Source organism: Homo sapiens, chromosome 4 (assembly GCF_000001405.40).
Source record: "Homo sapiens chromosome 4, GRCh38.p14 Primary Assembly".
Lineage (NCBI taxonomy): Eukaryota > Metazoa > Chordata > Mammalia > Primates > Hominidae > Homo > Homo sapiens.
The window spans coordinates 188,391,858-188,407,093 of NC_000004.12; the positions used below are offsets into that span (position 1 = coordinate 188,391,858).

General features: G+C 43.5%; 2 annotated features.

Annotated features, from left to right (window-relative positions):
- Positions 7,715-8,466: an enhancer, noted in NCBI's record as "OCT4-NANOG hESC enhancer chr4:189320726-189321477 (GRCh37/hg19 assembly coordinates)". NCBI's record gives its function as "activates a minimal SCP1, AML or CMV promoter by ChIP-STARR-seq in primed H9 embryonic stem cells {active_cell/tissue: H9 hESC(primed)}" and the evidence as "EXISTENCE:reporter gene assay evidence [ECO:0000049][PMID:30033119]".
- Positions 12,994-14,193: an enhancer, noted in NCBI's record as "P300/CBP strongly-dependent group 1 enhancer chr4:189326005-189327204 (GRCh37/hg19 assembly coordinates)". NCBI's record gives its function as "activates an origin of replication core promoter dependent on BRD2, BRD4, P300/CBP, MED14 and CDK7 cofactors, with strong dependence on P300/CBP, by STARR-seq in HCT116 cells {active_cell/tissue: HCT116}" and the evidence as "EXISTENCE:reporter gene assay evidence [ECO:0000049][PMID:35650434]".

Consider the following 15,236-nt stretch of genomic DNA (forward strand, 5'->3'; position numbering starts at 1 on the left):
AATAGCTTTCTAGCTATTTCTTCTGTAGCATATAAGAGTTCAGCAAACATTTACTGGGTCCCAATCTTGTAACAGATACTCTTATAGATCCTAGAAATCCCAAGATAAATAAAACATGATTCTTGACCCAAAATGCTTCCAATGAATAGAAGAAACAATGCATAAAGACGCATGACACAGAAACAGTATTTTTCCTTCCTTCTTTCCTTCCTTCCTTCCTTCCTTTCTTTTTCTTTCTTAGATTGGGTCTCACTCCGTCACCCAGGATAAAGTGCAGTGGCACAGTCTTGGCTCGCTGCAACCTCCGACTCCTGAGTTCAAGTGATTCTCCTGCCTTAGCCTCCTGAGTAGCTGGGATTACAGCCGTGCACCACCACGCCCGGCCAATTTTTTTGTATTTTTAGTAGAGACGGGTTTTGCCATGTTGGCCAGGGTGGTCTCCAACTCCTGACCTCAGGTTATCTGCCTGCCTTGGCCTCCCAAAATGCTGGGATTACAGGCGTGAGCCACTGTGCCTGGCATAAACAGTATTTTTCATAGCATGGGATATAAGTGACGACAGCAACAGCAACTTTTTTTTTTTTTGAGATGGAGTCTTGCTTGTTACCCAGGCTGGAGAGCAGTGGTGTGATCTCGGCTCACTGCAACCTCCACCTCCCAGGTTCTAGCGATTCTGGTTCCTCAGCTTCCCCAGTAACTGGGTTTACAGGCGCCCGCCACCATGTGCCAGCTAATTTTTGTATTTTCAGTAGAGATGGGGTTTCACCATATTGCCCAGGCTGGTCTCAAACTCCTGACCTCATGATCCACCTGCCTTGGCCTCCCAAAGTGCTGGGATTACAGGTGTGAGCCACCGCACCCAGCCAATGACAGCAACATTCAAGGGGTGCTCTGAGAGCACACTGAGGTGCACTTAGCCTGTCGTGAAAGTTCAAGAGATGGTTCTTGAAGTTGATGGTCACTGAATGCGGTTTTGCAGGAGATTGAATTTGAAAAGCTACCTTACCTTCCGAGGCTGTTCCCAGTGCAAATATCCTTGAAAAGATCATTCAAAAACATGTGAAAAGAGTGTTTCTGACGGAAGGACATATACAGAAACATAAAATAGCATGATGTGAATCAAGGAACTAAACACCAACTGCTGTTACTAGTTTGTGGAGTTCCTTGTGTGGAGCAGTAGGAAGTTGAAGCTGGAGTTTGCTATGCATGCTGCGTTAAGGAACTCAGATTTTAGCCTTTATGCCAGTTGCCTCCAGACTTTTTTTTTTTTTTAGATGGAGCCTCGCTCTGTTGCCCAGGCTGGAGTCCAGTGGTACAATCTCGGCTCACTGGAACATCCGCCTCCCAGGTTCAAGCAATTCTCTGCCTCTGCCTCCAGAGTAGCTAGGACTACAGGCGCCTGCCACCATGCCCAGCTAATTTTTGTATTTTTAGTGGAAACGGGGTTTCACCCTCTTAGCCAGGCTGTTCTTGAACTCCTGACCTCGTGATCCACCCACCTCGGCCTCCCAAAGTGCTGGGATTACAGGCATGAGTAGCTGGCCTTAGGCTTTTCTGATTATACATTTATTTAGTAAAACTTTCTCAAGCAGTCACCTCTAATATATCTATATGTATTTATAAATTTCTCTACACGTTGTATGGTCTCCCCATATATTAAATGTTAGTATTTTATTTTATTTTATAAAACGAAATAAAAATAGATAAAGTTGGCCAGGCGAGGTGGCTCACGACTGTAATCCCAGCACTTCTGGAGGCCGAGGCGGGTGGATCACGAGGTCAGGAGATGGAGACCATCCTGGCGAACACGGTGAAACCCCGTCTCCACTGAAAATACAAACAAAAAAAAAGAAAAAAGGAAAAAAAAATTAGCCGGGCGTGGTGGCGGGCGCCTGTGGTCCCAGCTACTCGGGAGGCTGAGGCAGGAGAATGGCGTGAACCCAGGAGGCAGAGCCGCAGTGAGCCGAGATTGTGCCCCTGCACTACAGCTTGGGCGAAAGAGCAAGACTCCGTCTCAAAAAAAAAAAAAATAGATAAAGTTTCTCATATTTTCTTCTACACCTCAACTGATTGTCTTTCTCACTCTCCTTGAGGGCCACATTTAGTCTGCTTGCAGGTGCTAACACGGGGAATGATGATTTGGTCAGATTCATGTTTTCAATCACTCCTCACAGTGGAAGATAAGAGTTGAGGGATGCAGGATTCAAGGAGGGAAGTGTAGGAACCAAGATATTATGATGGATCAAGCAAGAGAAAGTCAGGATCTGACTGAGAGAGCAGGCATGGAGTGAAAAGGAGGGCTAAATTTGAGAAATACCTAGGTAGTAGAATTGGTACGATCCGCCCATTGAGTAGGGGTGGGGAGTGGCTCTGAGAGGCCGGAGTGAGGCCTGAGTGAAGGGATGGGAGAAGCAAATCCATTGAGTAGGGATGGGGAGTGGCTCTGAGAGGCCGGAGTGAGGCCTGAGTGAAGGGATGGGAGAAGCAAATCCATTGAGTAGGGGTGGGGAGTGGCTCTGAGAGGCCGGAGTGAGGCCTGAGTGAAGGGATGGGAGAAGCAAATCCATTGAGTAGGGGTGGGGAGTGGCTCTGAGAGGCCGGAGTGAGGCCGGACTGAAGGGATGGGAGAAGCAAATCCATTGAGTAGGGGTGGGGAGTGGCTCTGAGAGGCCAGAGTGAGGCCTGAGTGAAGGGATGGGAGAAGCAAATCCATTGAGTAGGGGTGGGGAGTGGCTCTGAGAGGCCGGAGTGAGGCCGGACTGAAGGGATGGGAGAAGCAAATCCATTGAGTAGGGGTGGGGAGTGGCTCTGAGAGGCCGGAGTGAGGCCTGAGTGAAGGGATGGGAGAAGCAAGTCCATTGAGTAGGGGTGGGGAGTGGCTCTGAGAGGCCGGAGTGAGGCCGGACTGAAGGGATGGGAGAAGCAAATCCATTGAGTAGGGGTGGGGAGTGGCTCTGAGAGGCCGGAGTGAGGCCTGAGTGAAGGGATGGGAGAAGCAAATCCATTGAGTAGGGGTGGGGAGTGGCTCTGAGAGGCCAGAGTGAGGCCGGACTGAAGGGATGGGAGAAGCAAATCCATTGAGTAGGGGTGGGGAGTGGCTCTGAGAGGCCGGAGTGAGGCCGGACTGAAGGGATGGGAGAAGCAAATCCATTGAGTAGGGGTGGGGAGTGGCTCTGAGAGGCCGGAGCGAGGCCTGAGTGAAGGGATGGGAGAAGCAAATCCATTGAGTAGGGGTGGGGAGTGGCTCTGAGAGGCCGGAGCGAGGCCTGAGTGAAGGGATGGGAGAAGCAAATCCATTGAGTAGGGGTGGGGAGTGGCTCTGAGAGGCCGGAGTGAGGCCTGAGTGAAGGGATGGGAGAAGCAAATCCATTGAGTAGGGGTGGGGAGTGGCTCTGAGAGGCCGGAGTGAGGCCTGAGTGAAGGGATGGGAGAAGCAAATCCATTGAGTAGGGGTGGGGAGTGGCTCTGAGAGGCCGGAAGGGATGGGAGAAGCAAATGGCGCACATTGTGTTTCGGTGACTGAGAGAATAGTGGTTATGTTTAATGAGACAGAAGATTCAGTGGATAAGCAGATTTTAGTGGTGGGTTCAATTAAGAAATTGACCTCATCTTTATACAGATTCACTTCCTTTTAATTTTCTCTCAACACACTCATCCAAAATTTGGTTGTGTTGTTTTTCTGCTGAACAACCTGTATTATTCTCCTTTCTTTTCCAAATCTCCACATTTTGGCCCAACCCGTGTTCCATGGTGAATTCAGACAGTAAAAGAAGCAACTGTTTTTCAAGTGCCTTCTTTGTTATTTATAACACAATGCTTTTTATTCCAATTTTGTAGTTGACTTCTTTTCTCTAATAGATTATTGTTTAGTCATTGCAGATCCTGTTATTCTTCCCAGCAAACAACCTCAAAGTTTCACTGGCTTACAATAAATAAAATTTATTTCTTGCTTGTGTAATTTAATTTTATTTCATGTACTTTTATCCCAATGTACATTTCAATTTGGGACCCAGACCAAAATAGCCATTCAAGTGCGAGGGGTTTATTTTGTAGATGATCCGAAAAGAATAGGAAGTGAGATAGGGAAGAAAATAATGACAAAAAAGGCTTTATTTTCAAGGGCGTTATCACTGTGGACAACTGGAGCTTAATCCTACTGCGGAAACCGAGAAGCCAGGGTAAAATGTGTACCTGAGTAATCCCACCCGTGGGCCAAGGTAATTGTAATATTTACACACCAATTTCCATCAGCCATTGGTCGTGGCTGTACCTATGAGTGATCACTTTCCAGCATTTCAGGCCTAGAAAAAGTAGCCAAGGAGGTTTCAGAGTCAGAGAAAGCCCTCGTGCAGAAAATGTACATGCTAGCATTTACAAATCAGTCAGGTATGCATCGATGTGGTTAGAGTAAAAGGACATAGAGAGGAATCCACTAAATCCATCCAGGAATAAACAAATAAAATAGGAAAAAAAAACCCACTGTTGACATAAGTTAATACTTTTATTTTACCACTATTTCTTTCTTTAGCCCTTTTATTCAGTTACGGCTACTTGTGTACATTAGGTAGGTAGTGTGCAAATTTTACAGTATGCATTAACTCAAATTCTATATTTGTAGTAACTAAAACACGCCTTATTTTTCATCTCTATGCTATTCCCTCCCCTTTCCCCAGTTTCTCTGTGTATGAAGCTCGACTGACTTGTCAAAAGCTCCCTAAAGTGATGTTTTTACAATAAAGTCTCTCCTAAACTTCAGTTAGGATCAATCACTCTCTACTGGCTGCTCCTGTAGAATTTTATCTGTAGTTTTGTTTTGTCATCTTATCACTTTATAATATTATTTACAATCTGTCTGTTAATGTATTGTGCACAGGGCTGGGCGCAGTGGCTCACACCTGTAATCCCAGCACTTTGGGAGGCTGAGGTGGGTGGATCACGAGGTCAGGAGTTCAAGACCATCCTGGTTAACACGATGAAACCCCGTCTCTACTAAAAATACAAAAAATTACCCGGCGTGGTAGCGGGTGCCTGTAGTCCCAGCTACTCGAGAGGTTGAGGCAGGAGAAAAGCTCACCAGGAGGTTGCAGTAAGCCGAGATCGCGCCACTGCACTCCAGCCTGGGTGACAGAGCGAGATTTTGTCTTAAAAAAAAATATATATATATATATATACACACACACACACACACACACACACATATATATATAGAACACCTTTAAGATGATTTGTGTCTTACTTCTTTTTACTTATCCCATGATTGTCACAATAAAGGTTTGCTCACATCATAAGCAAATACCTAAATAGACATGCCTGATTTTCTTACAATTATGGAAGTGAATCTTACTTTGAAAAAAAATCATAAATGCCCCACATTTTTCAATGTGCTTTTGGACATTTCTTAATAACTATGTTTTTATAATATTATATATGTTAAGGCACTTACAATTTTAATGTGTAGTTATATGTAAAATCACATTGTATCGAGTAAGCATTATCAAATAATTCTTTATGATGAAATTAATTTATGAGTTTCTAATAAATACTACAGTATTGTTGGCCAGAAAGCACTAATGAAAATAAATTAAAGGTATTGTTTGTTACTTTAAAGGCTAGGAATTTCTAATATAAAGAAATGTAAGGAATAGTTCATAATTTAAGAACACAGCCACTTCAAATTGTAAAAAAGAATTATCTATTGTTAAAGCGAACTAAATATGGCCTGGGAAGGACTCTATACTTCTATACTTGAGTCCTTGTAGAGGAACCATAACCTAACTTAATAGGACAACAAGATTGAAAACCTAATTTAGGAGTATGTACGTGGAACAATCGCCAGTCCAGCAGCCATACTTCAGCCACTCACACACTGCTGCGTGTTCAAACTGTGTTCGAGTAAGGCAAACTTGTAACCAGTCCAGTTGTTTGTGTAACTCACTTCCGATTTCTGTACATCTTTTTCCTTTTTTTGTCTACAAATTTTCTTCCACGATGTGGCTGTGCTGGAGTCTCTCTGAATCTGCTGCGATTCTGGGAGCTGATTCACGCATCATTCATTGCTCAAGTAAACTCCTTTAAATTTAATTCAGCTGGCCGGGTGCGGTGGCTCACGCCTGTAATCCCAGCACTTTGGGAGTCTGAGGAGGGCAGATCACCTGAGGTCAGGAGTTCGAGACCAGCCTGACCAACATGGTGAAACTCCATCTCTACTAAAAATACAAAAATTAGCCAGGCGTGGTGGTGCGTGCCTGTAATCCCAGCTACTTGGGAGGCTGAGGCAGGAGAATCGCTTGAATCCGGGAGGTGGAGGTTGCAGTGAGCAGATATCGTGCCACTACACTCCAGCCTGGGCAACAAAAGCAAAACCCGTCTCAAAAAACCCAAAAGTTTAATTCTACTGAAGTTTTTCTGTTAACACTGTGTTATTATTTTATCTTTTGATGAAAGGCAAATGATATAAACAAGAACTTGGAATATTTGTGAATAATGTATAAATAAATAGTTTCTGTTTATTCTCTGTATTCTGTTAAAAGTTTTTGCTCTGCTCAATATATCTGGCCATAAAATTCTTTTAAATCCTGTATAATTTTAAAAGCAAATTTGATGCATGTGCAACTTATTTTATTTTATTTTTTTTGAGGCTGTTTGTTACAATGGAAATTGCCTTAACAAGTCTCATGTGGCACATGTGGTGCCCAGAGCATTCTGAAAGTTATGGTTTTGAAAGCAGTCGTTGTGGCGACATTGTCCTAATTAAAGTTCTCGGGCAGTTTTGCCGACATTCAAAACCATCTTCCATTTTTATCCTTTTGTGGTAATATTTATCATTTATAAAAAGGAATTCCAACACCTCTTTTCTATGTATAATCTCCCAACGTTCCTGGTCAAAGCAGTTTGCTCCCAAATTACCAGAAGTGGTCTCGTTGCGGCAGCAGAGCTCCCCTGGTGCACTTCTACTCACGGGTTTGTTGAACGTGTAGCTTTACCCACCTTGAGGCAGAACTGCATGTGCCCGTGTTGGCGCTGACGCATGATGTGTGGTGCACGGATGGAGCAAAGGTGAATATCTCCCCACAGCAGACCTCCGAGGTTCATAAATTATTTATCACATACTTCAGTGTGCTGCCACAGTGATCAGGGCCAGTTTCCAATATGGAGACAAGAGCTCTTTAATCACGCTCTTCCCTGCAAAAGAAAAAGATTGGCATTTAACAGAGAGCTGTAAGACAGGATAGGGATGTGACTGCAGGGAAACCTCCACTTGGAATAGGAGTCGCTGGTCAGTTCTAGACCCAATGGCATGGACTTATGTAGTAATAGTAGTAAGAGTTCCTGAAGATAGTTTCAATCTATTGCCAGCATTCTGTAGGTCTTTATAACAAGCAGGAAATGGATACACATGTCTCTGTTCCATAATTAGAAAAGTATCACCATTTTCCTGGGACAAAAATATGTAAGTTTAAACATTTTTAGTGCCAGGTCAGTAGTCACGATTTACCAACAGCATTTTTTATTTTAAAAATACAGTTAGTGACTACACCATTGGCTAACAAACTGAGACTTAAAGCATTCTCTAGATGCAAATGCTACAAATAAATCAAATTATTAGGCATATTCACTAATACTTACAAACTTAACTTCATATATAAAGCAAGGTAGATCACCAGTGTGGCCATGCAAACAGGGTTTGAGGACTTCAATATTTAAAGCAAGTTAGTCCAACCCACAGCCCAAGGGCCACATGCAGCCCAGGATGGCTTTGAATGAGGCCCAACACAAATTAGCAAATTACTAAACTTACTTAAAATGATGGGATTTTATTTTTTGCCATTTTTTGGTTTGTGTGTTTGGTTTTTAGCTCATCAGCTTTGTTAGTGTTAGTGTATTTTATGTGTGGCCCAAGACAATACTTCCAATGTGGCCCAGGGAAGCCAAAAGATTGGACACTCCTGATTTAAAGGGAAAAGGGAGGGCAGATGAAGAAAGAGGATAAAAAAAAGAGAGAGAAGGTAGACAAAACAGGAAAGTGGTTAGTCTTTGGAGGCTTTGATTAGCACTTACTGAATCTACATTTTACATGTGAAAGGAGTGGGTAGCGAAACAGTGAATTATGCATAGTGCTCAGTGCGTCTGCATTTTTGCATAAGATAAAGTAAACATAGAGGAGGTGCTCAAATATGCATTCCTCTCAGGTGAGCCAAGGGATGCCCTCTAGGCCTGTCTTTGTCAAGGTACCGGTGAAGATAAGCTGTTAGTTTACATTGTCAAGGTGAAATAGAACAGCGTTCTGTTTTAGGGTAAAGCTCTTGGGGCCCACGAGGAATTTCCTTGTGAGCAATTTGTGAAGGAGGCCACCGGGGGAGACATGTGGCCTTCTGTCTTTGCAGCTATCTACTTAGGAACAAAATGGAAGGCAGTTTTTGCATGATGCAGTTACTGAGCTTCACTTTTCCCTTTGGCATAGTGAGTTTGGGGTCCTGAGATTTTTATATTCCTTTCACAGCCTCACTATACTTGAATTAAAATACAATCTACATGTTAAAACTGACCACATCATTCTTTCCTGTGTGTCTTCAAAGGATTTAAGGCCCATCCAGATAATCCAAGATGATCTCATTTCAAAGCCTTAATTATATCTTTGATGACTCTTTTTCCAAATAAGGTCTCAATTAGAGGTTCCTGGAATAAGACACGGACTCATCTCCCTGGGGGCCACCATTCAGCCTGATCCGGAAGGAAGGCCATGATTTCAGCTCTCTGGGATTTGAGACAAAGAGGCCCCTTTTCTTTCATTTTATCTTTTCATGTCTCTTCTTGCCATGTACCCACATGATTGAGTGTGGGCTGAGGGTGAATCCAAGAAGGGCTTTGTTTTGTGGTCAGTACAGGCTTTGGTCCACAGAGACAACAATACTTTCAATACTCTTTTGTTCTGCCCCAGAGGAGCTCAACACAGAATTGCCTAGAACAAGAAACTGGGTAAGTGTGCTTGGAACATACGCTTGTCTTCTCTTCTTTGGACTCTTGATTGCAACACTCATCTCTGCCTGGATATTCACATGGACTTATACTCTCTGTCTTTTCTTCTGTGTGTCTTCTCTTCTGTATGTCACTGAATGTTGGGCCCACCTGGATAACCCAAGATGATCTCATCTTGAGGTACTTAATTATATCTGCAAATAACATTTTCCTAAATAAGGTCACAGGCATAGTTTTGGGGGACTGGGACATGGATATATCTTTTTGGAGACCATGATTTAACTCACTATAGGCTAAATTCTCAGCCCTAAAAGGGGTCCTACACAAAGTGAGGGCACTCAATGGAAAGAAGGGCTCTGAGATGTGAGATAGGAACATGTGAACAGAACCTTCAACCCACAGATTCCCCTGGACTATCAGGTCCAGGAGAAGAGACTCCTTCCTCTCTCAGGTTGAGACTCCCACGGCCTGGAGATTAGGCAAAGCCTCTGTTCGATCTTTGCATGAAATTAAGTAGTCTTAGTGGTCTATTGCAGGGGTCTCTATCTGTGATTGACCTTTACTTATTTCTTGCTTAATGTACTATCATTCTCTTTTTTTCTTGAATAAGGTAGTTTACATATTAAATTCTTCGCTAAAGATACAGCTCTTAAATTAAAAAATACTACTACTACTACCATTTTGCTTTAGTCAGTAAGTTCTGCCTTAATTTTCTGTCTATTTTATATATTTTGTCTATATTTTGTTGATATATTAAAGTTTTTTCTTGTTTTTATTAATATGATGATTTAAGGCTCTAGAATTTCTTCTGAGTGCAGATCTACCTGGGTCATACAGATGTTGTCATATGTGGTCAGTTCTTTTACAAATATTCTTCAACGTTTTTCTCTTTGGCCCTTAATGATATAAGAAAACTTCCAAAAACTGTATGTTTTTTAGTGTTTTGGAGTTTTATTGTTTATTTAATTTCACTGCATCTTAATCAAATAATTAAAAATGCTTTTTAGAAATTACTGAAGTTTTGTGGTCTGAAATATAGTCTTTTTTATGATCTGTGGAATCAAAAAAAAAAGCATTCTATATTTTTAAGGTGCCAAGTTTGTTATCTGTCAATTAGAGAAAACTATGTGATTTACATTTTTACATCATGACTTACTATTGCTCTCTTCAGCAGTCACAGCCTGATAGAGGTGATGTAATTTTCCCTGCTGTGCTCCTGTGTCTGTGTCTTTCCTTATGCATGCTCTACTTTTTTTTTTTTTTTTTTTTTTTTTTTTGAGACGGAATCTTGCTGTGTCGCGCAGGCTGGAGTGCAGTGGCGCGATCCTGGCTCACTGCGAGCTCTGCCTCCCAGGTTCATGCCATTTCCTGCCTCAGCCTCCGGAGTAGCTGGGACTACAGGCGCCCGCCACCATGCCTGGCTAATTTTTTTTATTTTTAGTAGAGACGGGCTTTCACCATGTTAGCCAGCATGGTCTTGATCTCCTGATCTCGTGATCCGCCCACCTCGGCCTCCCAAAGTTCTGGGATTACAGGCGTGAGCCACCGCGCCCGGCCTACTTTTTGTTTTAAGAACATTGATGCTCTGTTATTTAATCTCTAGAATTCATAACTGGCATATCTTCATTGTGAATCACACGCTTATTTTTTCTTTTCTGCTACTTTTTCTTACTTCTATGCTTTTTCTGCCCTGTGTTTTAAAGAGAAGAAAATCAGTGATGCCACACAAAACACTCCGTGGTAGTCAGATCACAGCGATGGTTTTAACATTTGTAGTGCTGACATTCTGTTCCCGTTCTTGTCTCTTTCACTGAGTTCTCCTACCATCAGGCAGGTTCCATGCTCGTCACCAGGCCCTGGCTGCAACTTTTCATACCCTATCAACATTTGGTTCACTGATGATTGTTGTTTGCTAGATTTTCCAAGCAGTTCCATATAAACAATGTTCCCATATCTTTGAACATTCAAAAATCAGTTTGTATTGCGTTTATACTTGATTGAAATAATAGTTGGTATAAAATTTCCGGGTTGCACTTTCTTGGTGCAAAATTTCACAGGTCTCAGCTCTTTCAGTATTGAATACTGCTACACACTGCCCTTGTGATTACAGATTCAAGCTGGCCATCAGACTTGCAAGACACAGACAGCTTTAATCTGATGCTACATTTACTGGGCTTTAAAGGAGGATACAGGCCGGGAGACACAGCTGGTGTCCTGGGGCACCCACAGCTCCCTTTGCCCTTTCACCTATCCAGGGCCTATGTGGCTGCCACAAACAAGAGTCAGGGTGCTTGCGGGCCACATGGATAATCAGAAGCCACCGCCTTGATTTCCCAACAATTTTTTATGCTATTTCTAGACACAAAGCTACAAGCCACATATTGATTCACAGCCCCCCTGTTCCAAGGGCAATGGAACATAGGTGATGAGGGAGACATTCCACATCTATTTCAAATCTGTAATTTCCAAGTGTGTCTGTTAGCTTCTGTTGATTAGGAAATTATCCCCAAATTTAGTCACTTCAAACAGCAACAGTTTGTTAACCTAAGGATCTGCTGAAGAGTTCCCATGGTCTGGGCTGGCTCTGGCTAATCTCGCCCAGGCTTGCTCACATGACTGCAGTGCCTTAGCAGGATGGCAGAGGGCGACTAGCCCGTCATAGCCTGCCTGTGGTCTGGTGGTTGGCCATTTGCCTCTGGCTCAGCGTGGCGATTGTTTCATTATTTTGCATTCTTTTGTTGTTGTTGTTTTTTGTTGTTTTTTTTTGTTTGTTTTTTGTTTTTCGTGTTTTTTTTGAGACAGGGTCTCTCTCTGTCACCCAGACTGGAGTGCAGTGACGTGATCTCAGCTTACAGCAACCTCTGCCTCTGAGGCTCAAGCAACTCTCCCGCCTCTGCCTCCCAGGTAGCTGGGATTACAGGCGAGCGCCACCACCGCCCAGCTAATTTTTGTATTTTTAGTAGAGATGGGTTTTCACCATGTTGGCCCGGGTGGTCTCGAACTCCTGACCTCAAATGATCCAGCCGCCTCGCCCTCCCAAAGTGCTGGGATTACAGGCGTGAGCCACTGCGCCTGCCTGTTGTTAATAGTGGTAAAATATTTGGTGCAGCTTCTCAGTGGCCACATTTTACAGTTTCGGATGCACTTTCTGGATCGGGCATGCATTTTCTGCTTGTGTAACTCTGCTTATTTTGCATTATTTTAAGGCATTTATAATTAATTCTGATTCCTCATTTTGGACTATGTTTTGTTTCTCCTGAACCGTCTCTTTCCTGTAGGTAGAGGGAAGCATTTCATGGAGGGCCAGGTCCCTGGCTAGGACAAGGTAGAGCCTCACAGTCATATTTGGTATCCAGCGGCCATTGCTCTGCCCCAGCCTGTCATCTGGCTGTGGTGGGTTTGGTGGCCCACGTCTAACTCTACCTCTGTTTCTAGACTGTGACCCGGGACCGGGGGAAATTAGTAGCAGCCCGTGCCTCCAGTGCCACTGTGGCGAGCCCTCTAGGACGGGCCTCTCACATTGGGCTTTATGGTGTCCGCGGCCTCAGTGTCAGTACTCTGCTCCTCCCCACAAGCAGCCCTGCTCAGTTTGCCCTGGGCTGGCAGGCTTTTTCTCTGTGTTGAGGTTTGGCATTTCACCTCACTCCTGTTTTCATTAAAAGTAGACTTTTCCTTTCTATTTCAAGTTCTGTGGATGATTTTGGGAGAATGTTTTCTTTATATCATCTGCAAATACGCTTCCTCATTTCCCACCTCGACTTTCCATCTTCCACTTTCAATCTTTTCTTTTTTTGGAAGGAGGGTGGGGTATTGTCAGAGTTGTATTTTCCAAGAGCCCTTTCAATTTCTCCATTTTTGCCCTTTATCACTGTGTGTGTGTGTGAGAGAAAGAGACATACAGCATACATATAGAAAGATGTGCAAAATGTAAATGTATATTTAACAAGTGGTTATAAAGCCATATAATATGCAACAACCACACAGGTAAAGAAATAAAGTCTTACCAAAACCTAGCAGTCTCCCAGGTGTCCCTCTCCAGTCACCACACTCTTCCTCATGCCCCTACCCCAGTACCCCCAGGAGTCAAACACTTTTCTGCCTTTAGTGTCATCATGTCTTAGCTGTGTTTATAATTTTACCACCTATATATGCATTACGAAAGAGCTGCTTCTCCTTGCTATCTTTTTCTTGCTGTAGGTCTTGTATCTTCAAAGATACTTAGAAATAGGGTTCCGAATATAACTTTTTCTGTTTCTGCACTCTCTCTCTTCTTTTGTGTTTCCTTTAATCTGTCAGACTGATTTTGTTCCACTCACATGAAAACTCTGTCCCCAGTGCCTCCTGATCCTTGCCTCTGCATTCATGACTAAGTGTGATGCACTGGGAGATGACTGGGAGTCCGTAGGGAGTGGGCGTATTGGCCAGTGGTCCTTGCCTCTGCATTCATGACTAAGTGTGATGCACTGGGAGATGACTGGGAGTCCGTAGGGAGTGGGCGTATTGGCCAGTGGTCCTTGTCTCTGCATTCATGACTAAGTGTGATGCACTGGGAGATGACTGGGAGTCCGTAGGGAGTGGGTGTATTGGCCAGTGGTCCTTGGCTCTGCATTCATGACTAAGTGTGATGCACTGGGAGATGACTGGGAGTCCGTAGGGAGTGGGTGTATTGGCCAGTGGTCCTTGGCTCTGCATTCATGACTAAGTGTGATGCACTGGGAGATGATTGGGAGTCCGTATGGGATGGCGTATTGGCCAGTGGTCCCCTTAACAGAGCGGACCTTTGTTGTTGGGCATCACCTGACCCCAGTGTCTAAAGGAGAATTTCCTCCTTGGAGATAACGTCTGACCGCAGCCTTCTGGGAGCCACGGGAACGGTCTTGTGTGCCTGCAATTAGAACACACGTAATCACTTTATTTCTGAATTTAAGCCTCACCCAGTCCCCCATGGTTGCTTATTTGCTGACTCCTAGCTAGGAAACTTTCTGAGATTCTCTGAGTGAATCACATTTGTTTTCTTCGTAGGTTGTGGCTTTCTTTATTGTACTAAATCAATGCCTACTAGTCTGTTAAATGTCAAAGAAATATTAAACTTTTTATATTCTAATACTACTCCCATTCTTTTGTCCTAGTGGGCTTAAGGATGTTTTAATTTATTTTGCTGTCCTCGTAGTTGATTTTCTTTCTTCTTTCTTTTTTTTTTGAGACAGAGTCTTGCTCTGTCCCCCAGGCTGGAGTGCAATGGTGCGATCTCAGCTCACTGCAACCTCCACCTCCTGGGTTCAAGTGATTCTCCCGCCTCAGCCTCCTGAGCAGCTGGGACTACAGGCACCCGCCACCATGCCTGGCTAATTTTTGTATTTTTAGTAGAGACGGGGTTTCACCATCTTGGCCGGGCTGGTCTCGAACTCCTGACCTCAGGTGATCTGTCCGCCTCGGCCTCCCAAAGTGTTGGGATTACAGGCGTGAGCCACCACGCCCGGCCTTAGTTGATTTTCTTAAGGCAGAGCAGATAACATTTGTGCTTACACTACCACATTTAACCAACATTTCAATCAGGGATAGTTTAAATAAAACTTTATATAAGAGTTTCCCATTTCCTCCATTCTCTTTCTAGAAGTTTTTTTTCTTTTTTTTTTTTAGTATTGTTATTACTTGTAACTGTCTGTGTGAGTGCAGAGATATAATATTAAAATTTATCAAATTTCAGGGTAGTGATATTAATCATTTATTTTAGTAGCAAAATTAAATGTTAACATTCAACTGTAAGATTGGAAGATTTAACTGTCTTTTCCCCCATTGAATTAATACAGAACAAAAATTTATATTTCTGATACAGACAGGAGACAGGGAAATACTGGGTAGAAGATGATGGTGCCCTGACAAAGGCTCTGCCTTCAAGCCTGGAAGCCCATGGCTCTAAGTGGCAACAGGCATTCCTGTTTTCCTGCCCAAAAGTTGCCTTTTCACCTGCCATGCCCCACTATCCTGTACCCATATAAACCCCAATCCCCAGGCTCCAGAAGCAGGCAAGGAAGTAACAAACAGAAGAGTAGAAGAATAGCAGAATGGTGTGGCAGAGAGAAGAGAAGGAACATCTGAACATCGAGAGGAGTTCAGCTAGGGATGGTTGGAGAGGAGATTGGCTGCTGGATGGCCAAACTCCAGGGGAAGATCATCTTCCCACTCCATCCACCTTCCAGCTCCCCATCCATCCCACTGAAAGCCACCTCCACCACTCAATAAAACCCCCGCATTCATCC